This window comes from Homo sapiens, chromosome 8 (assembly GCF_000001405.40).
Source record: "Homo sapiens chromosome 8, GRCh38.p14 Primary Assembly".
In the NCBI taxonomy this organism is placed as follows: Eukaryota; Metazoa; Chordata; class Mammalia; order Primates; family Hominidae; genus Homo; species Homo sapiens.
In genome coordinates, this window is record NC_000008.11 from 98,560,359 (window position 1) to 98,582,564 (window position 22,206).

Sequence of the window (22,206 nt, forward strand, 5' to 3'; positions counted from 1 at the left end):
TGGCAACGTCACAGGATACAAGGGCAATACACAAAAGTCAATTGCTTTCTTACATACCAGCAATAAATGACTGAAATTTGAAATTAAAAAAAATTTCAACAGAAAAAAAACCCACTTAGGTCTAACATATTAAAACATGTACAGGATCTGTATACACTGATGCAAAAAATAAAAGATGATCTAAATAAATTGAGAAACACCCCATGTTCATGAATTTGAAGACTCAATACTGTTAAAATGCCATTTCTTCCTAACTTGATGTATAGATTTCATTCAATCCCAATAAGAATTCCAGGAAGTTAATTTAGAAATGTTGACAAAATGATCCTTTCTATGGAAATGCAAAAGGCCTAGAACAGCCAAGGCAATACTGAATCAGAAAAACAAAATTTGGCCAGGAGAAGAGGCTCACACCTGTAATCCCAGCACTTTAGGAGGCTGAAGTGGGTGGATTGCTTGAGCCCAGGAGTTTGAGACCGGCCTGGGCAACACAGCAAGACACCATCTCTATAAAAAATACAAAAATTAGCCACATGTGGCAGCATGCGCCTACAGTCCCAGCTACTTGGGAGGCTGATGTGAGAAAATCACTTGAGCCCAGGAGGTCAAGGCTGCAGTGAGCCGTGATTGCTGTCACTGTACTCCAACCTGGTTAACAAAGCAAGATGCCGTGTCCAAAAAAGAAAAGAAAAGGAAAAAGAAAATTGGAAGATTCAGTGTCCAATCTTAAAACTTCTATAACACTACAGTAATCAAAACAGCACAGTACTGGCAAAAGAATACACACATATATCAATGATGTATCATTGAAACAGAATAAAGAGCTCAGAAACAGACCTACACAAATATAGTCAACAGATTTTTGAAAATGACACAAAGGCAACTCATTGGAGAAAGAACAGTCTTTTAATCAAATGGTGCTAGAACAACCGGATATCCATACGGAAAAAAAAAAAAAGGACCCAGATATAGACCTTACAGCTTTCTCAAAAATTAACTCAAAATGCTTCAAAGACCCATATAACATGCAAAACCATAAAACCTATAGAAGAAAACTCAGGAGAAAATCTATGGGACCTTGAGTTTGGTAGTGAATTTATAGACACCAAAAGCATGATCCATGGAAAAAAGCTGGTATCATCATAATAAAACTAAACACTTCAGCTGGGCATGGTGGCTCATGCCTGGTAATCCCAGTACTTCAGGAGGCTGAGGCAGGAGGATTGTAGTTTGAGGCTACAGTGAGCTATGATCATCCACTGCACTCAGCTTGTGCGAAAGAATGAGACCCTGTCTCTAAAAAAACAAAAGGCAAAAACTAAAAACTAGAAATCTCTGCTCTGTGAAAGACACTATTAAAGAATGAAAAGGCAAATCAAAAATGGGAGAAAATATTTGTTAAATACTTACTTTATAAAGGACTCGTATCCAAAATACACAAACTCTTAAAAATTCACAATAAGAAAACAGACAACACAATTTAAAAATGGGGAAAAATATTGAACATACACTTTGCCAAAGATATATAAATGGCAAATAAGCATATAAAAAGATGCCCGACATCTTCATCACTAAGGAATTGCAAATTAAAACGAGATACCACTAAACACCTTTTAGAATGGTTAAAATGCAAAAACAAACAAACAAAAACCCTGACCATACAAACTACTGGTGCGCAGCAACAGAAACTCTCATTCCTTGGTTAGTAGGAATATAAAATGATACAACTTTGGAAAAGAGTTTGGCAGTTTCTTACTAAGCTGAACATACCATAAGATCCAGCAACTATGATCCTAGATACTTACTCAATGTACCTGAAAACTTATATCCATACAAAAGCCAGCATATGAATGTATACAGCAGCTTTATTTATTGATAACTGCCCCAAACTAATAAGTAACTATTGAAGATGGCCTTCAATAAGTTAATGGATAAATGAACTGTCATGTATCTCTGCAATGTAATACTATTCAGTGATAAAATGGGCTATTAAGCCACAAAAAAAACCATGGATGACTGTTACAAAAAACGTAGTGTTAAATGAAAAAAGCCAGTCTGAAAAGGCTACATAATATATGATTCCAATTATATGATATTCTGGAAAAGCCAAAACTATAAATGGTAAACAGATCAGCGGTTGAAAGGGGGTTGGGGGAGAGTTGATTATGTGAAGCACAATGGATTTTTTTTAAGGGTGATGAAACTGTTCTGTTTGACAGTACAGTGTATCATGTGTATCGTTTTGATGCCTAATACCATGCGTTTGTCAAAACTTTACATCATAAAGAGTGAACCTACTGAGGCAGGAGGATCCCTCGAGACCAGGAGTTCTAGACCAGCCTGAGCAATATAGTAAGACTCCCATCTCCACAAAAAATGAAAAAAAAAAAAAAAAAAAAAAAAAAAAGTCAGGCCTGGTGGTGCATGCCTGTAGTCCCAGCTACTTGGGAGGTTGAGGCAGGAGGATCGCTTCAGCCCAAAAGTTCAAGACAGTGAGCTATGTTTGTGCCACTGAACTGTAGCTTGGGTGAAAGAGAGAGACCCAGTCTCAAAAGCAACAACAACAACAATAACAAAAAGAGTGAACCCAATGTATGCAAAATTAAAAAAAAAAATTTAGGAGGTCAGGGGATCCCAGGGTGAAATGTAGAATGTGGCAAAAAAAAAAAAAGTAACTGTATTAAAAATATATTGAAACAAATTCACTGAAGGAGGTGAGAAGAAAAGGTACTAACCTAAGTAACTTTGGAGTAAGTGAACTGTGAATTCTGTTAGACTAAAGACAAAAGAAATGATACATAAGCAGTGTAACTGATAATGTTGTTTTCCATGTTTTCCACATGGGTTAAGAATTCTGAAACCACTATACATGTATACTGGAGTTGAGAAACTTAGTAAATGAATGATAGGAGCCAGGTTTCTCACCATTGGAGTTGTAGGTTATAAACAAGCAAGAGGACCCATCTAGAATAATAATGGATTAGAGTCAGACACAACAGTATAAATTAATGTTTAGTTTAATACAGATACAGATGTATACACATACATATATATACACACACACACGTGCCTACATATATAGTTATAAATGTGTATATACATAGGCTAGTATACACACATATATCTCCTTGCCTCATAAGCTGAGAGGGCACAGAAGCAACAACATCCCACAGTACAAAAAAGTCCCCCTGGAATCCAAACTTGATTTCCTACAGTTTTCCAGTAAAAGGAAGTAGGCTCCTTATTCTAGTACTGGAACAGGAAATATACAAGATGAGCCTAGAATATCTTATAGTGTCAGAGAGTAAGGAAGAGCTAAAAACAAAACAAAACCGCACAATGATGGGGATATGTCATAGGGACAAAGGAGTCAAAACAAAAGGTTCCCAATGGCCAAAGCTGGAACAATTTAAGCAAAATAAATAAATAAATAAACATAGTAGTATTGGATTATAATCCAAAATATAAACTAATAACCATGAGTCAATATTGATGCGAATGACTGAATAAATGGGGAGAAGAGACAAATCTCCTGTGTAGAAAAAATTCTAAATACTCCATCCTCAAGAAAGTGGAGAATAACCCCCCACTTCTTAAATGTGAGCTGTGTACTGTGACTTCCTTCCAAAGAGTACAGTATGAAAAGAAAGAAAGAATAATTTTACTGTAAAGAAACATGACATGCTACCTCAGTCATGTGATCCTGGTTAACATCAACAGTGGTAAGTCATGTTGACAGAATAATTTACTCTTGATGTGATGAGACTTATATTTATCTCTGGGTCTTTTCAAAAACCAATAAGCCTCGTCTCATCATTAGAAAAAAAAATCCCAATTGAAGGACATTCTACAAAATGTCTAACCATTATTACCCAAAACTCTCAAGGTCACCAAAAACAAGGACATTCCGAGAGGCTGCGACATCATGAACCCTTTCTGTGCCTGGCTTATATCATTTAACGTCCTCCAGGTAAATACGTGCTTGCCACAAATGACAAAATTTCATTCATTTTTATGGTATATACATACCATGTGAAATTAGCCAAGCACAGAAAGACTAAAGAAGCTGATCTCATGGAAGTAGAGAGTAGAAATGGTGGTTTCCAGAGGTAGGGGAGGCTTGTAGAGGCTAGGGGTGGTAGGGAGAGATTGGTCAATAAATACAAAATTACAGTTAGGAGGAATAAGTTCTGGTGTTCTGTTGCATAGTACAGTGACTGTGGTCAACAATACTGTATATTTCAAAATGGCAGAAGATTTTGAATGTTCTTACCACAAAGAAATGATAAATGCATGAGGTGATGGAAATGCTAAATATTCTGATTTGATTTTTACACAATGTATACATGTATCAAAATATCACACTTTACCCTGTAAATATGTATAATCGTTATATATCAATTTTTTTTAAAAAAGAGAAGCCTAAGGAGACATGATGACTAAATGTAATATGGTAACTTGATGGGTCCTAAAACACAAAAAGAACATTAGGTAAAAACTAAGTAAATCTGAAAAGAATAGGCACTTTAGTTTCAAATCTGTATTAATATTGGTTCATTATTTAGACAAATGTATCATACGAATATAAGATATTAATAACAGGGAAGACTGAATGTGGGTGGTATATGGAAACTCTCTAAACTATTTTTCTATTTCTTCTATAAACCTAAAACTATTCAAAAATAAAAAGTTAACTTAAAAAATTGAGAAAATCCTTTGCTTTTTAATTTGAGCAAATATTTATTATCTGTTTTATCACAAGGCCCAACACTACAACCCATAAGTCAGTGGTTCTCACCCAGGCCACACATTGGAATCTGTTAGGAAGGTTTTTAAAAAAATCCTGATGCCTAGGCCCTAGCCTACAAAAATTAAATGAGAAATTTCCCAGAATAAAAATCAAGCATTGTTTTTTGTTTGCTTTTTCCAAAAGCCACCACTACCACAAAGAGAAAGCTCAAATGATATAGCAATTTATTAAATATTTTACATACTATATCGAGTATCACAAATCCCAAAGAATCATGTTTCTATTAGAGGTAATAAAGCATATAAACTCTAAGTGATTAATGTCTACAATTTTTATATTGACAAGAACTCTGTATTCCATTACTTCACCAAAAACTTTTTGCAGTTTCTTTTCAGAGTATTTTTAAAATATTTTACAAATTTCAATATGTATATGCTTTTAAAAAATGCACTTAAGTACATTCTATTTTCAAAATAGCATCATTTATTCAATAATATATTTTAAACTTTCATATGGCAGAGACAATTCCCATAAATTTGCTTTATATCATACACAACACTACCGTAGAATGCTCCTTGGTAACAACAAAATGTTGCATTTTGAAGCTTTATTGCATAGAAAGACCAATTTTGTTAATACATACTCTTTAAAGGTGGACTTGCCATAAGCAATTCAAGTGTTTACAGTAAATATGAACAAACAGATATATTATTTAATCAACTCATGCTAAAGATTTGGGAATATCTTCCACTAATATCCAGAAAACGAATTCTTACTATGTAATACAGTTGACCCATCTCAACACCTAATTTACATCACATACTCAGAAATGCCAAAAGAAGATCTTTGTCATATTTAACAACACTTAAACTAACACAAAAACTTTGATATTGGATTAACCTTCTACAGAAATCTCTGTTTGCAATTTGTTTAATTTTAGAAATCTGTACAATTACCTCAGCACCTATCAAAACATGTCAATTTGTCAAGATACATTCTCATCAGACAAGCTTTTTCTATAATAGGTATAAAAATCAAATTCATAAGGCACTATTTCCAATCATGCTCCATACTTTTCTTGAATAAAAAATATTTTAAAAGATTTGTTTATAATAGTTACCCAGGGCACAGGTGTATGCACTAAAATTTTAAAAACCAACATATCTTGTAATGGTTATCATATACCATTTCCTTTTTAAAAGCCACATTATAAATTGATGAAAATGGCAATTTAATTTTAGGCCCCTAATTTTTCCCCAACTGCAATAAGCCAAACTAGATAGAAGTAAATTAAATTTGGAAATTTTTCTTTATATTGTTATAACCCATACATTTTCTGAAAATTATGTTAAGAATGCAGGATCCACACACAATAGACCCAAGTATCAATACTTGATGTGAAATATAAATCTCTCCCTTAATGTAGCAGCGAATTTCAGTTCTGAAATTCTGAAATCAGAGAAAAAATTTGATCTACATTATCTAAAAAGTTAGTTTTATGAAATTTTTCAATGGTCCAATGCTAAACTTGCTCTGTGTCATTATTTGCTCCACCACTGCTTAAGGACCAATCCAGAGTCTGGACTGGAAACAGCTACAGTAAAAGCTGCCAGAGAATACAGGTCCTCTGGGCTGAAAATAAATCAGAAGCAAAAGTTGGCAATACAGATCTCTCACCATGCTGAAAAGACCTTTCATCCATGAAATAATCAAAAAGGAGAAAAAAGAATGGAGAAAAATTTCACTGAAAACAACTGGGACACCAAAATATCCATCTAAAACTTTCCGCCATATCCTAAAAGAAAGTCAGTTCCCCAGTACCAAAACTAAGTAGGTAATGGCCAAATGAATCCCTCAAACTAAAGCAAAAGAAAAAAAGAAAAGAACCAGAAAGTTTCATGGGCCAAAGGTAACCAAGCTAAGCTGTGAACACAAACAAGAGGTTGCAATGCAACAACCTTGACTTAACAGATACACATGTTAAGTCAAGCACAGTATCAATTAGATAACAAGGGGTCCAAGCTTGTACTTTCGTTCCATAACCTAGACAAAATTATTGTAAAAGACACAGTGGTTAAGAAAAAGAAAAATATCATTTATGTCTATTCTTTTTGTTGTGTTGTTGAGACAGGGTCTAGCTCTGCAGTGGCGCAAAGTCGACTCAATGCAACCTTAGCCTCCTGGGCTCAAGCAATCCTTCCACCTCAGCCTCCTGAGTAGCTGGGACTACAGGTGAGCACCACCATGCCTGGCTAATTTTTGAATTTTTGGTAGAGATGGGGTTTTGCCATGTTGCTCAGGCTGGTCTTGAACTCCTGAGCTTAAGCTATCCACCTGCCTTGGCCTCTGAAAGTGCTAGGATTACAGGCATGAGCCACCGTGCCTGGACCATTTACTTCTATTCTAATCAACTATAAATTTGGATATGATTTGCTTTAATTGTCCTGATTCCTTGTAATGCTACCTTACAGAAGTTTTCCCTTCCCTGCTTGTCACTTTGACAACTTGTCTAAAACAAATCAGAATTGAACAAACTATGATTTTTTCTTTGAATTGTTCTAATTTATGGGCACTCAAGGAGTTTGTTAATCACTGAAATATACGGAGGGTTTTATAGATTTATAAAGAGATCATATTACAAACTCAATATCAAAAATTATAATTTTAGGCCAGGCACAGTGGCTCACACCTGTAATCCCAGCACTTTGGGAGGCCGAGACGGGCAAATCACTTGAGGTCAGGAGTTCAAGACCTGTCTGGCCAACATGGTGAAACTCTGTCACTACTAAGAGTACAAAAATTACCCAGGCATGGTGGCAGGCGCCTATAATCCCAGCTACTCGGGAGACTGAGGCAGGAAAACTGCTTGAACCCAGGAGGTGGAGGTTGCAGTGAGCTGAGATCACACCACTGCACTCCAGCCTGAGCAGCAGAGTGAGACTGTCTTAGATAGATGATAGATAGATAGATAGATAGATAGATAGATAGATAGATAGATAGATAGACTGATTTAAAAAATAAAATAAAAATTATAATTTTAGAACAGTCCAAGAAATTACAAATGGCAGGAGCTCCCATCAAAATGGAGATTAGAACACACAGGTTTACACCTATCCCTCTCAAAACCCTCTCAAAACTACAATAAAGCCACAGAAAAGGATAAACCCCAAAAGACAAACAGCACAGGAATTGAATAGATAACAGTATATGGGAGATGTCAAAAATGTGGAAGCTAGAAAAATGTTTGGAAGTTAGAAAACAGATAAATATGTAAGCAGCTAACTCAGCAGACCAAAAATAAGACTTAAGCTTGCAAAGAGAAAAGTCACAAGAAGCATGTGAATTCAGAGTAGTGAACCCTAACATCTTTTACAGCAAAATTTGCTGGTCAACTAGTTCCACTCTTACACACAGAGCTGCCAGAGGTAATTTTAGTGCTTCTCTCAAATATAATCCCCGTACATTTGAAGAAAGCCCATAAAGTGAAATGTCAGAGATCAAAACAAACACAAAAGAACAGACACAAGGCAGGGAGCAAAAGATAACTCAAAATAATAATAATGAAATAATAACGTAGAAGAGAAAGCTATCTTAGACATTAAATATCTGATATGAAAAAATAGCAAGTTTGGAAGATAAACTTGAGGCAATCTCAGAAGAATAAAAAGAGAAAAAGAGGGAAAAGGAAACAGAAAAGATAATTGAAAGACTAACCTAAAAGGTTCAACAACCAAATAAAAGGAGATCCAGAGACAGAGAGGAGAGACAGTGAAAATTACCAAGAAATAGCAAACATGAAATCACATAGAACTGAAGGGTGTTTCCAGATTTAAAAAGTCAAAAGACACTCCATACGATGAATGGGGAAAAGATGTATACCAAGGCACATTATTAGGAAAGTTTTAAATAACAGGGACAATGCAAAGATCCAAAAACTCCCACATTCAAACATTCAAAGAATCAGGTATCTGAATGGCATCTATCTTCTCATCAGCATTATTGCTGAGCAAGGAAAAAGAGCAAGGTCTTCAAAATTATAAAAGAAAGTTATTTTCAATCCAAAATTTTACACCCAATCAATCAATCAATCAATTAAGGGTAAATGTACAATAAAGACACGGTCAGATATGCAATGACTGAAAAAAACTGCTGCTGTCAGGAAGCTACTGGGAGATATGATACATAAAAATAAGGAAGTAAAACAAGAAAGACAGAAGACAGCATCAGGGATAAAGAGATTACAGAAGAAAAAAAAGAGGACATTCCACAGGTTGATGTTGAAAGGAAGTCTTAGGATGACAGCTGCTCAACACTCCTAAAGAGGAATTAGTTCCGATTAGTAAAGGACAGAAGACTATTGAAGGGATGAATCAATAAAAAAAAAAAAGTACGGCATTAATAAATTGTGTTTGAACATACACAGAGGAGCTCAGAGATCCAGCAGAGAGTTTGGGAATATAGCATTTGGGAACAAACTAGTGATTAGAAAACTGTAAAAACAACAACAGTAACAAAAACGGAGACAATTATTGGTTCTGAAAATCACAAAAAGAAATAACATGTAATGATAATATGATATAAGTGAACAGTATTTACACAGTTATAACTATATAAGAATTTGTTTTAATTGTGATTACATAGGAAAAATTAGACATAACAAGTAATCAATTCTTTTACAAGTTTTCAATTTGTGGTAAATAATTTTATCTGAAATATTTCTTATTAAATAAAATTTACTTTTTACCATGTAAAGGAATGAGAATAAGTAAATGTTCTTTACTGGTTTTCCTCAAAAAAAAAAAATATGTGTGTGTGTGTGTGTGTGTATGTATATTTATACACATTTTCAAATATATGTATACAAATATACATATCTATACTTATATTTAGGAAAACCAGTAAAGAACAAATACATATTACATATTAATAAAAATAAAAATATTAAAGAATATAAAAATATATATTGTAAAAATATAAATATATAATAAATATATAAATATATATATGTTTTTTCTTTTTAGACAGAGAGAGAGAGAGATAAAGAGAGTCTCACTTTGTCACCCAGGCTGGGGTGCAGTGGCATGATCATGGCTCACTGCAGCCTCAACTGCCCAGGCTCAAACCATCCTCCCACCTCAGGCTCCCAAATAGCTGGGACTACAGGCATGCATCACCAAGCCTAGCTAATTTTGTGTTTTTTAATTTTTTTTTTTGTAGAGACAGGGTTTCACTATGTTGCCCAGGCTGGTCTTGAACACCTGGGCTCAAGCAATCAGCCTGTCTTGGCCTCCCAAAGTGCTGGGATTACAGGCGTGAGCCACCGTGCCTGGCCCAAATATATTTATTTTTAATTTTAAAACTAGATTTAATATCTACCAACTCTTCCAAACATATTTGACCAGTTAAAATTTGTTTTAAAATGTTTTTTAAAAAATTGAATCTATATCAGTTCACACCAGATCAGTAATGTTATTTTGGTGGCCACAAGGTAGGGCAAAACCAGTAAGGGCAACCAGCAAAAAAAACCCGAAAACTAAACAAACAGAACAATAACAAAAACAAAAAACCTGGCCAAAATGTTACAACAGCAGTAGTGATGGTATAAGTAGTGGCATTAATAAAAACAAAAGCTAAACTTTATTGAGCATACTATGTGCAAAACATTGTTCTAGGTGTGTATATATGTAATTATATCCTCATAACAACTCTATTTGCAGATGGTAAAACTGAAGTAGAGAGGTTAAGTAACCTGCCCAAAGACATAAAGTTATTTGGGAACAGAACTAGAATTCACATCCAGATAGTATGATCTATTTTTAGATAATGCAACCTCCCTTTTACCAAGTAAGTACATTACAGGCTTCTGGACTGACTTGGGCTAATTCTCCTGCTGTTCTTTTCTTTACCTAATTCAAAAGGTTCTCAAAAGGTAGACTTTTGGCCAGAAACAGTGGCTCAGGCCTGTAATCCCAGCACTTTGAGAGGCCAAGGCGGGTGGATCACTTGAGGTCAGGAGTTCAAGACCAGCCTGGCCAACATGGCTAAACCTTGTCTCTACTAAAAATACAAAAATTAGCTGGGCATGGTGGCACACGCCTGTAACCCTAGCTACCTGGGAGGCTGAGGCAGGAGAATCGCTTGAACCCAGGAGGCAGAGGTTGCAGTAAGCCGGGGATCACGCCACTGCACTCCAGCCTGGGCGAGAGAGTGAGACTCCATCTCAAAGAAAAAAAGAAGGTAGACTTTTGAAGGTCCCTATTGAACAGGGGTAAGGGGAAAGAGGGGAAGGCGGGGGAAGTTTCTGTCTAAGAAATGCTCACCTGAAACTGTATCACCACCTGAGGGGAATGGGTTATTCAAAGCACCCTGGCATTTCTCCCCACACCCATGCTGAGAATTAATTGCTTTAGTGAAGCATGTTTAAAGAGAACATGACATTATTCAGACATTAAGGACCGCAACCTGAACAGCTCTGAGTTCAGACCATAAGAGGTCACCAGAAAGTCCTCATTTCTTTTCCAAGGATAGAAGCTCTAAGACATAGTCTAAGACCAATTAGACTTCTTTTCTTTGAGTCATTAATAAGTTAATATGAAGTCAAATAACACCTTTCTTCAGATAAAAGTAAAGGACCTGATACATGCATAAAAGTGAAAAGATTTCATTCAAGCTTAACATCAAAAAGTATCCCATTTTTTGCTCAACATTTCACTTAAAATTCTTCTACATCCATTTAACTCCTTGTATTTTACTTAACATTGTGATCCTTAAGAAACGTCTGAGCTCCAGTGACAAGCAATTCTTCTAAACTCCTTATCAGTCTTTTAAAGTGCTTTAAAAATAGCATGTCAATGCTACATTCTATGCCTTATCTTATAAATTCAATTAACATCATTCTGCTTTGAAAATCATCATCCAATGTACCACATGTAGAATATTTGCTTTGCTGTTTTACTTAAAAACAAGTACTCTTTTACTGTATAAATATTTAAAAACTCATTCAAGTACCTGTACAATATTCAATAAGCCATACCAGCAAACTTACAAATTAGTATTTTAAAAATCATCAACTAAGTTCAAGAAATACATAAGAATGAATACTGCTTGTTGTGTAACTACCAAATTACCAAACTGCATGCTTACATTTTGAATACTAGAGTTAAACTAGTACTAACTGCACAAATCCTGTATGCCTGCTTTTTATATACACAACCTAGATTAAACTTTGTGTTCATTTAGTCAAAAATGAATGTAAATTTTATAAAAAATATTTTACTTTTATGAAAAAGAGTATCACTTCAATGAAATAAATTGTCCTACTGAACATCAAGAGATGTGTAGTCTATGATAAATTAGCTGATTTAAAACTGTATATGTAATTCAATTTAAGCCAATTCACAAAAGAATCCCAAAGGAATAAATGATATAAACTATTTAAGATTCTGAGCCTTCAATGTGGATAAACTTTCCTGAGAAATTACATCTACTAATTTTAAAAGTTGCTAAAAATAAATGGCAATGTAGGATATACATTTACTGTAGAAAGACTTCAGATTCATTCTGCCTATCTCGTTCTTTTAAGTGCTTGTGAGAGTGTATGTGTGTACATATTGTATATTTTCTATGCAGGGCAACAACAGATAAAATAACCTCAAAATGGAAGCTACTGCCTGAAAAAATAATCTGAAGAAAGCATGTGAATATTGCTCAATGTGTGACTCTCCAAACTTTTTACTTTTTTCTTATAATTTCAGTAAAAAAGACTATAAGAGTTTTACCCAGAAACACTAAGCTTTGCCCCAGAGAATAAATGTTTATTCAGGAAAAAAAAATCATAAAAACCTGACATAATTTTTAAGTGCTCATAATATTTCCCCTCACCTTGAATATGGACAGGACCAAGTAACATATACCTAAAACGACTTGGTATCATTGGATTTGAAACTAAGCAGTGGGCAGAAGCTAGAAGCACTTTGAAGACAGTTTTAGTAAGAGCCTGAAGAGTCATTAAAAAACTGTCAGAAGCCTGACAGCCTTTAAGAAAGTTTCAGGAAGGTAAGGGAAATATTAGAAAGCTGGAGAAAAGGAGATTCTTATGTGGTGGCAGAAAATTTAGAAACTGTTGTATTAGTCCATTCTCACACTGCTATGAAGGAATACCTGGGTAATTTATAAAGAAAAGAGGTTTAATTGATTCACAGTTCCACATGGCTGGGGAGGCCTCAGAAAATTTACAATCATGGCAGAAAGCACCTCTTCACAGGGCAGCAGGAGAGAGAACTGCTGAGCAAAGTGGGGAAAGCCCCTTATAAAACCATCAGATCTCCTGAGAACTCATTCACTATCACAAGAACGGGGTGGTTGTTCCCTGATTCAGTTACCTCCCACCAGGTCCCTCCCATGACGCGTGAGGAATAAGGGAACTACAATTCAAGAGGAGATGTGGGTGGCAACACAGCCAAACCATATCATTCTGCCCCTGCCCCCTCCCAAATCTCATGTCCTCACATTTCAAAACACAATCATGCCTTTCCAACAGTCCCCCAAAGTCTTAGCTCATTCCAGCATTAACTCAAAAGTACAAGTCCAAAGTCTCATCTGAGACAAGGCAAGTCCTTTACAGCAGCACTCCACTACTTGGTACCAATTTACTGTATTAGTCCATTCTCACGCTGCTATAAATACCTGAGACTGGTTAATTTATAAAGAAAGGAGACTTAATTGACTCACAGTTTCACATGAAGCCTGAGGAGGCTTCAGGAAAATTATAATCACGGCACAAGGCAACTCTTCAAAGGGCAGCAGGAGAGAGAAGCGCCGAGCAAAGAGGGAAAAGCCCCTTATAAAACCATCAGACCTCATGATAACTCACTCATTATCATGAGAACAGCATGTGAGTAACTGCCCCCATGATTCAATTACCTCCTACCAGGTCCCTACCATGACACATGGGGATTATGGGAACTATAATTAAAGATGAAATTTGGGTAGGGCCACAGCCAAACCATATCAACTGTTGGCTATAGGAACCAGAAAAGTAACAGGAAAAGTAAAAAATGTACCTAATGAACTGGGTGGTCTAGCAAAGCATGTAAGATGTTGCCTGGTTTCTTCTTGCTGCTTATAATCAAACACAAAAGGAGAGAGATAAGCTTAAGAAACGACAATTAAACAAAAGAGGGACTGAGACTTGTCGATTTTGTAAATCTCCAGCCTCTATAGACAGCAAACCATGCTACAGTTATGAGACAGCTTGCAAGCAAACCTCAAATCCAGGCAATAGTCAGGAAATTATGGTCTAAATATCAAGCTGAAAAGGTGACTGTAAAATCCTTTGTTCAGATTTCTGACAGATCCATGCAGTTCCTCAACAGGGCTTCTAAGAAGCTTAAAGGCATTGTCCCTGCACAATCTCATCAAGAGGCCAAAATCAGGGAAACAATTATCTCAACAAAATGTATGAGTATAGATTATTCTAATGGAGTAAGCTGCAATGAGATTTATAGGAGACCCACAAAGTGTTTTTGGCAGAAACACTACCAGCATTGACTGCATAGCACAGAGATGCACGAAATGAAAAGAGGGCTTTGGACTCCAAAATTTCTAACCACAGGAAGCAGGCTGAGAAAACTATCTAGCTCAACACACAGGCTACCTTCCATGAAAAAGGAAGAACTCAGTGGGCAGAGCAAAAAACTCAGAGAACACAGAAAGGAGCCATGAAAAACTATCCTGAGGTAGGAATAGAACTTAGTTTTAATGAAGAAACTTCTAACATTTGCTTGGCTGGATTCCAAAACTGCTATGGAATAGTGACTCGTGCACTTCCTGTCTTCCTTTTTTTTTAAACAGAACTACCCATAATGATATAATTTTATGCCTGACCCACCATTGTACATTGGCTATTCGGGGTGGTGGGGGTGAGGTAAGAAACATCTCTTTTGTTTATAGGTCTTCAGATTGAAAGGAACTGGACCCAAGGAACATTATCTCTATCTGAATGTAATTTAGAAGATGACATTCTAGATTTTGAGCTGATATTGTAAAGAAATAATACTTGGGGTAGATGGGATAGTGCGTGTATTTTGCATGGGCAAGGAATGTAAATAAGGTGCGGCCAGAGGATAGTCTGAGCCAGTTTTAAAACATAACCATAAATTCTTTGGCAATTCTCCCCTCAAAAGGTGGAGCCTCATTCCTATTGCCTTGAGTGCAGGCCAGACCTAGTGACTTGTTTTTTTTTTTTTAATTGAGGTGAACTTCATATACAAAAAATTAACCATTTTAAAGTATACAAATCAGTGGCACTTAGTACATTCACAATGTGCAACCATCTCCTCTATCTAGTATCACAGCATTTTCATCACCTCAAAAGAAAACACTGTACCCATTAAGGAGTTGCTCTCCATCCTTCCTTCTTTCCCACACCCTGCACACCACAACTGGGCCCTGTCCTGGTCTCTGGTAACCAACAACAATTTGCCTATAATTCAATTGTAAGTTGTAAGAGTTCTCTATACAGTTTGCTTTTTTTTTTTTCTTTTAAACAGATGGGGTCTCATTATGTTGCCCAGGCTAGTCTTGAATTCCTGGGCTCGGGCGATCCACCCGTCTCAGCCTCCCAAAGTGCTGGTATTACAGGCATGAGCCACCGCACCCAGCTTCTATACATTTTGGATACTAGACCCTTATCAGAAGCATAATTTGTAAATATTTTCTCTCATTCTACAGGCTGTCTTTTCACTTCTTGATAATTTATTCTCTTATGCACAAAAATGTTTAATTTTGATGAAGTTCAGTTTATCTTTTTTGTTATTTCTGCTTTAGTATCATTCTCTAAGAATTCACTGACAAATCCAAAGTCATGAAGAATAACCCTATGTTTTTTTATAAGAGTTTTAAAGTTTTAGCTCTTACATGTAGGGTGTTGATCCAGCCAATCAGATCTTATACTAAAAGGCTGCTGTATTTGATAAAACATAGGGGTCTAACTTCATTCTTTTACATGTGGCTATCCAGCTATCCCAGTACCATTTGTTGAAGAGATTGTTCTTTTCCCATTAAATGGTCTTAGCAACTCTGTTAAAAATCAGTTGGCCATAGATTTATGGGTTTATTTCCAGACTTTCTATTCTATTCCCTTGGTCTACATACCTATCCTTATGCTAGTACTACACTGATTTGATCACTGCAGTTTCATATTAAGTTTTGAAAACAGAAGTGTGAGTCTTCTAACATGGTTCTTCTTTTTTGATATGTTTTGGCTATTTGGGGCCCCCTGCAATTACATATGAATTTGAGAACTGACTTTTCCTCTTCTGCAAAAAATGACCTGAAATTTGGAAATAGATCTTTAAAATCTGTGAATTGATTTGAGGAGTACTGCCATCTTCACAATATAATGTCTTCTAATCTCTGAACACAAGATGTCTTTCTATTGATTTAGGTCTTTTAGCAATGTTTTGTACTTTTCACTGTACAAGTTTTTTAACTCCACGGTTAAATTTATATTTTAGGTATTTCATTCTTTTGGATGCTATTATAAATGGCATTGTTTGCTTAATTTCCTTTTTACATTTTTCATTGCTGGTGCCTAGAAATACAACTGAGTTTTGTGGTTGATGCTGTACCCTGAAACTTTGCCAAATTTATTTACTAGCTCTAGCAGATTTAGATGGTTGACAGATAACAAACAGGAAGTTGCTCTAGCTCATGGGGGGCTGAAACAAAGGTATCTGCACCAGTCCCTCAGGGAACCACCAGACAGGTCAAAATGAAAACTACAATTTTTTTTCAGAACAAGGATCTTATTGTCCCCGTCCTGGCACCAGTGAGCTACACCGGGAATATGGGTTGCTGGCCCCATAGCTGCTGCTGAGCTAGAAAATAAAGGATATTAGGTATATAAGCAAAAATGTCATAATGCTTTCTTATCAAAATCTGGCACTCCCCTGGATGCTGTTAAGTTTTCTATCAGATTCCAGAGTTATGCAAAAGTTGATTTGTCAGTTTTTTCCAGTTTAACATAGTTGCTTCTGTGGAGGTAACTGATTCTTAGAGCTCCTTGCTCCACCACTCACTTGCTTTTAAAAACTGGGCCGGGCGCAGTGGCTCATGCCTGTAATCCCAGCACTTTGGGAGGCCGAGGTGGGTGGAACACCCAAAGTCAGGAGTTCAAGACTAGCCTGACCAATATGATGAAACCTGGTCTCTACTAAAAATACAAAAATTAGCCGGGTATAGTGGCATGAGTCTGCAGTCCCAGCTACTCAGGAGGCTGAGGCAGGAGAATTGCTTGAACCCAGGAGATGGAGGTTGCAGTAAGCCAAGATCATGCCACTGCAATCCAGCCTGGGCAACAGAACGAGACTCGGTCTCAAAAACAAAATAAAATAAAAATAAATAAATAGAATGTGGCAGAAGTGACAGTATTTAACTCCTGAGACTACAACATAAAAGACAGTGAGAGGTCCTCTTTGTTCTCTCTCTTGGACCACTCACTCTGAGAGCCCCTGAATGAGCCATCCTGGAAGTGAATCCTCCAGCCCTTGTCAAGCCTTCAGATGACTGCAGCTCTGATGAACACTTAGATTGCAATCTCATAAGAAACCCTGAGAATGAATCACGTAACTAAGACCCTCCTGAAATAGCAATCTACAAATACCATGATAATAAATGTGTGTTGTTTTAAGGTGCTATGTTTTGGGGGTACATGATATTTAAAGCTGAGACTCAAAAGAAAAGAACCTAGCCACTCCAAGAGTTCTAAGAAAAAGAGTGTTTCAAGTACCGGGTATAGCACATGCAAAGGCCCTGAGTAAGGAAAGATCTTAAGCATGTTAAAAAAAAAATTAAAAATCTGAAAGACTAGTGTGACTTAAGCTCAGCGAAGGAAAGAAAAATAGTGAAGAAAGAGACCCCCAAAGGGGCAGAAAGAAACCAAAATTACTATAACAAAGTCTTAAAAAGTAGTAAAAACTGATAATATATGATAAAGTGCCTTTGAAACCACAAGAAACAACTACAAAAATTTAACATTTAGAAACATTAACTGGAGAGAAATCTGAAACTAAATGTATCTATCATCACACAGGAATCCAGGGTAGGAAATATGAAACCCCCTGAGAGCAAGAACCAAGGGTCTTTACATCTCCCATATCACCTACTCATCTTTGTAGAATTAATGCACAATGACAAACCTGAAAAAAATACCTTTTGAAGACACTATTTAAAATTCTAAGTAATGAATTCATTGGTGAAAGATTTTAAGTCTAGAATACAGGCTTCAAGTATCTCCTCACTAGGTAGTCCATGACAACGGCCAAATAAATAACTCATGTAGCTGCATATCTAAAGAACATGATTATAAATCAGCTCTACAAAGATGCACATTTCTCCTTGTCCTGGGCTACCATGTGATAAAAGGTTTTATAATTGGTAAAAAGAGTAAAAGAATTTCAAAAGAATTCCCAACTGGATAACCAGTCTCTGAAATTAAAACTGAATTTAATTTAGCAAAATAATTCCATTTGTATACAGAAACTGTAAGATTTTTAAAATGAACTTTTATGGGAGAACATACTGTTACGAAATACATTTTCAATCAGTAAAACATAAAATAATACATGTGTTTTCAGATTTTATGACTATTTGAATACCAAGGGTTATTCTCCTCTATATCTTTATCCAGAAAAAAATATATAACTTGAAACACAAAGGCAAAAAATAATTAGCAAGGTATAGAAGCACTAGACACTACAAACCAGGTGCAGTGGCTCACACCTGTAATCCCAGCATTATGGGAAGTTGAGGTGGGTAGATTACTTGAGGTCAGGAGTTTGAGACCAGCCTGGCCAAAATGGTGAAACCCCATCTCTATTAAAAATACAAAAATTAGCCAGGCATGGTAGTGTGCGCCTGTAGTCCCAGATACTCATGAGGCTGAGGCAGGAGAATCGCTTGAACCCGGGAGGTGGAGGTTGCAGTGAGCCAAGATCGTGCCACTGTACTCCCGCCCAGGTAACACAGTGAGACTCTGTTTCAAAAAAAAAAGTATTAGACACTACAAAATGTGGTAAATAAATACAATTATTTTATTTCGTTATTTAAATGTAGTAACATCAATATAAAGTAAAAGGAATTAATAGCTAGTTTAATATGCTAGGCCTTTTTATGTCCCACCTGCAACTCCTGCTATGGTACGTTTTATCTACAGCATAGCTGGTGACCAGTTAAAAGAAAATTCCAGAAGATATGACACAAAACTGTATAAATTCAAGACAATATTTATTTAACAAACCCAGAGTTAGTATCAACTAGATACTAGGTACTGTGGAAGTTCATCCTATCAACATTACATTCCACTAATCACTAATTCTTAAGACATCAGAAAAAGATAGCAAACATATAAGGCAAACCAAATATATTTTGAGATTCAATGAAAAAACATATCTTACTTGTATAGTAAAACAGTAAGTGCTTTTAATATATTTTAACAGAATTACAGACAAATAACTCAGAAGAAAAAAATCAACTTTTTGAAGATAATTACAAACCGAATTTTCTTCTTCCTCTTCCAATTCTCGTTGCTGTTCCTCATGTCTTTTAGCTTTGATCTCCATAGCTTCTGTGATCAGGTCTCTTAATATTGATACAGGTTTGGCATTCTTGATAAAAGGATGCTAAAAAAGTAAAATTCAATGGTATAAATTCAAAAGATTTTTCCGAATTATAGCTAACAAATGTTAAAACAACATGTAAATGTTAACCAGGATCACAGGCTTCAATGATTGTTTTTTCATCTAGAATTAAATGTATAGGTTAAGAAAAGAGAGTATGGCCACTGCCTAGAAATAAAGAATTTGCTTTGGGGCTTGTTTAAAAAAAAAACTTAAAGCACACATGCAAAAATGCAACCCTGTTAATAAAACTATAATATCCTTAAAGATCTAATTGTCCAAAGGAAGTGTACATTAGGAGTAAAAAAGATTAAGTTAAAAATAGGATTACAGATTATATTACACATAGAAATAAACTTATTTTGGTACTGAGTTACGTAATTTAATTAATCTTAATAAGTTGACAGCCAAAATCAGTGGCCAAAAGGAGAGCAACTATTTTGTTACTTCTTTAACATATTTTCTATTTTATTGTATCTTAAGTAATTTAACCAAGACAAAAATATTTTTTCAGAAAATGAATGTTGCCTAATTTCTTTACTATATATAAAATAACTTGTCACTTTTTAAAAAATATCACCCTGATCTAGCTAAAATAGCTAAGCTCTCTATCATTCTGACAAAGAGAAGGAAAACTATCAGAATAGACCTAGGTTTTGAATTTCTTTTTATTGAGAAGGAGGGACATGAGAGAAAGTAGAGTGAAAGGTTATAATTTTGGATAGATAACCTAAATTTGGGGCAGCAATCAGTTTCAGTAATTTTCATAGTTACATGTCAGTAGATAGCATCAGGTAAAAGTGACCTGACTGAGTGAGTGAGTTATTTGTTTATTTGTTTGTTTGAGACAGGGGCTTGCTCTGTTGCCCAGATGCGAGCACAATGGTGCAATCATGGCTCACTATAGTCTTGACCTCCTGGGCTCAAGTGATCCTCCCACCTCAGCCTTCCTAAGTGCTGGGAATAGAGGCATGAGCCACTGCACCCAGCCCTGAGTTATTTTAATAAACTTCAAGAGAACACAAAAATATATTTAAAGACAAAAAAAATTGTGCTGAAGAAGAAATAGATACTTGAAAGAGGGTTTAAAATGGCAAACATATCATTTGGGACAACTATAAGAAAGAACTTTTTCAGAGTACAGAAATACTAAAATCAATTGTAAAGAACCAATAAATTATTTTAGAACAGTTATAGATTAATCTTACCAAACAAATTAAGTCCTATTAACATATCTGTGGTAGAGACTCCTGGTCATACACCAAAAATAGAGTTGTGGTTGGACCGACAATTGCCCAACTGGATCCTACGTTTCTCAACTTAACCCATTCAGGTGGTTATATGCGACTAAGTGAATGCGGGAGCAAATACTGTGTTCCACTTCCTGGCCTGGGCTATGGAGGGCTCCTTGTTACTAATGGATAAGGGTGAGAGGTCAGGTTCTCCCAGAGTCCTGTACTGGTACTGTGGGAAGTAGTCTCATTTTAGCTGATTGGCGATGAAAGTCCTGACCCTTCACCAGACTGCCTCTGACCCCACTCCAACAGGGAGGTTGTTGGGTTCTTATTCCTGCCTGGTAGGAGTATAAGTCTAGGCTCCCACATGGTCTTCACTGGCACTCCCCACTTAGGGAGGGAATACTTTCTACACTGCCTTGTGGAGATGAATGCCTTAGCATGACAGCCTTCTCTGACACCGCCTGAGAAGGACTGGACAGCCTCAAAAGGATAGAAGTCTAGGTTCTCCATTTAGCCTTTGCTGGTGACCGGGGTAGGCCATAGTTTTCTTGGTGGTGTTTGGCTAGAGTAGAACGGTTATCATCTGAAAGTTTTCAGTCTTACTAGGCTGTCCATTTCTCCGTCCTTCTGCTTGAAAGAGCAGGTTTTTATTTCTAGTTTGTGTCCAATGTTGTTTCTGGGTTGTTGGCTTCTCCACTACCCAGTGTGGGATAAATGAGGGAAAAAGAAACCCCAGGGAACTCACAGCTATGTCTTTCCTTGAGTCCCACCATCTCTAGCAGTCTATTGCCTTCTTTCCACCTTTTAGAGTCTTTTTATGCTTGTTTTATATACTTACAATGTCCATGGTTTTAGCTGTACTTTAATGAGGAAGTATAGAGAAAAATATGGTTACTCAATCTGTCCAGCGGCAGAAATGCCTTCTTCAACTCACTTTAAGCACTTGTTTTATCTGAAGTGTTTTTGTATAAATCATTAATTTTGAACACTATCAGTTTAGAAATTGATAATTCAGAACATGAACAAAATTTAAGAGGAAATATTTCAGATTTTAAAAGAATAAACTTTTCAAGCAGTCTCAATTTTTAAAATACATCATCAAGAATGTGATAGGTTGATCTGCAGTAATTTCTGTCTTCTCATTACTTTAGGTGGTTTAAGAATCCTCACCCTCTTTAATTTTTATTTTAGACACATTTAGAAATAGGAAAACTTTACTGCCTATTAGAATCTGGTACATTCATCTTTTTCTTGTTGAAATACTTTATAAAACCCTTCATATAATCAGCCCCTTGCCTGACATAAATATATATATATATTTTTTAGTTTCCGTTTTTTGCCATTCATGCATTTTTTAAGTTATATGTATTCAAATCATCCATTTTTCTTTTGCTTTATTGCACCGGAATGAATATATAAATATTCTCCTATATTAACCCCTAGTTCTTTCCTATTTCCATTTTTTGTTTTAGTTTTTTTAACATTTAAGACCTTAATCTATCTGGAAATTACTTTGGTGTTTCTGTGGTGAAGATCTAAG

General features: G+C 35.9%; 1 protein-coding gene across 17 annotated transcripts in view; it reads right to left on the bottom strand.

Annotated features, from left to right (window-relative positions):
• STK3 (serine/threonine kinase 3) overlaps positions 1–22,206 on the bottom strand; it is a 598,636-nt gene that overhangs the window by 216,384 nt on the left and 360,046 nt on the right. For 15 of the 17 annotated variants that reach the window (XR_007060753.1, XR_007060752.1, XM_047422133.1 and 12 more), the window contains one exon: positions 19,306–19,431. The exons of 1 other annotated variant lie outside the window; for it this stretch is intronic. Coding sequence is in view for 13 of the 16 variants with exons in the window: in XM_047422133.1 (XP_047278089.1) it covers positions 19,306–19,431 (126 nt within the window). In the remaining 3 variants the exon portion in view is untranslated. Of the gene's footprint in view, positions 1–19,305; positions 19,432–22,206 lie in introns of those variants that run through there. One more of the 17 variants, XR_007060754.1, reaches the window with a different exon arrangement.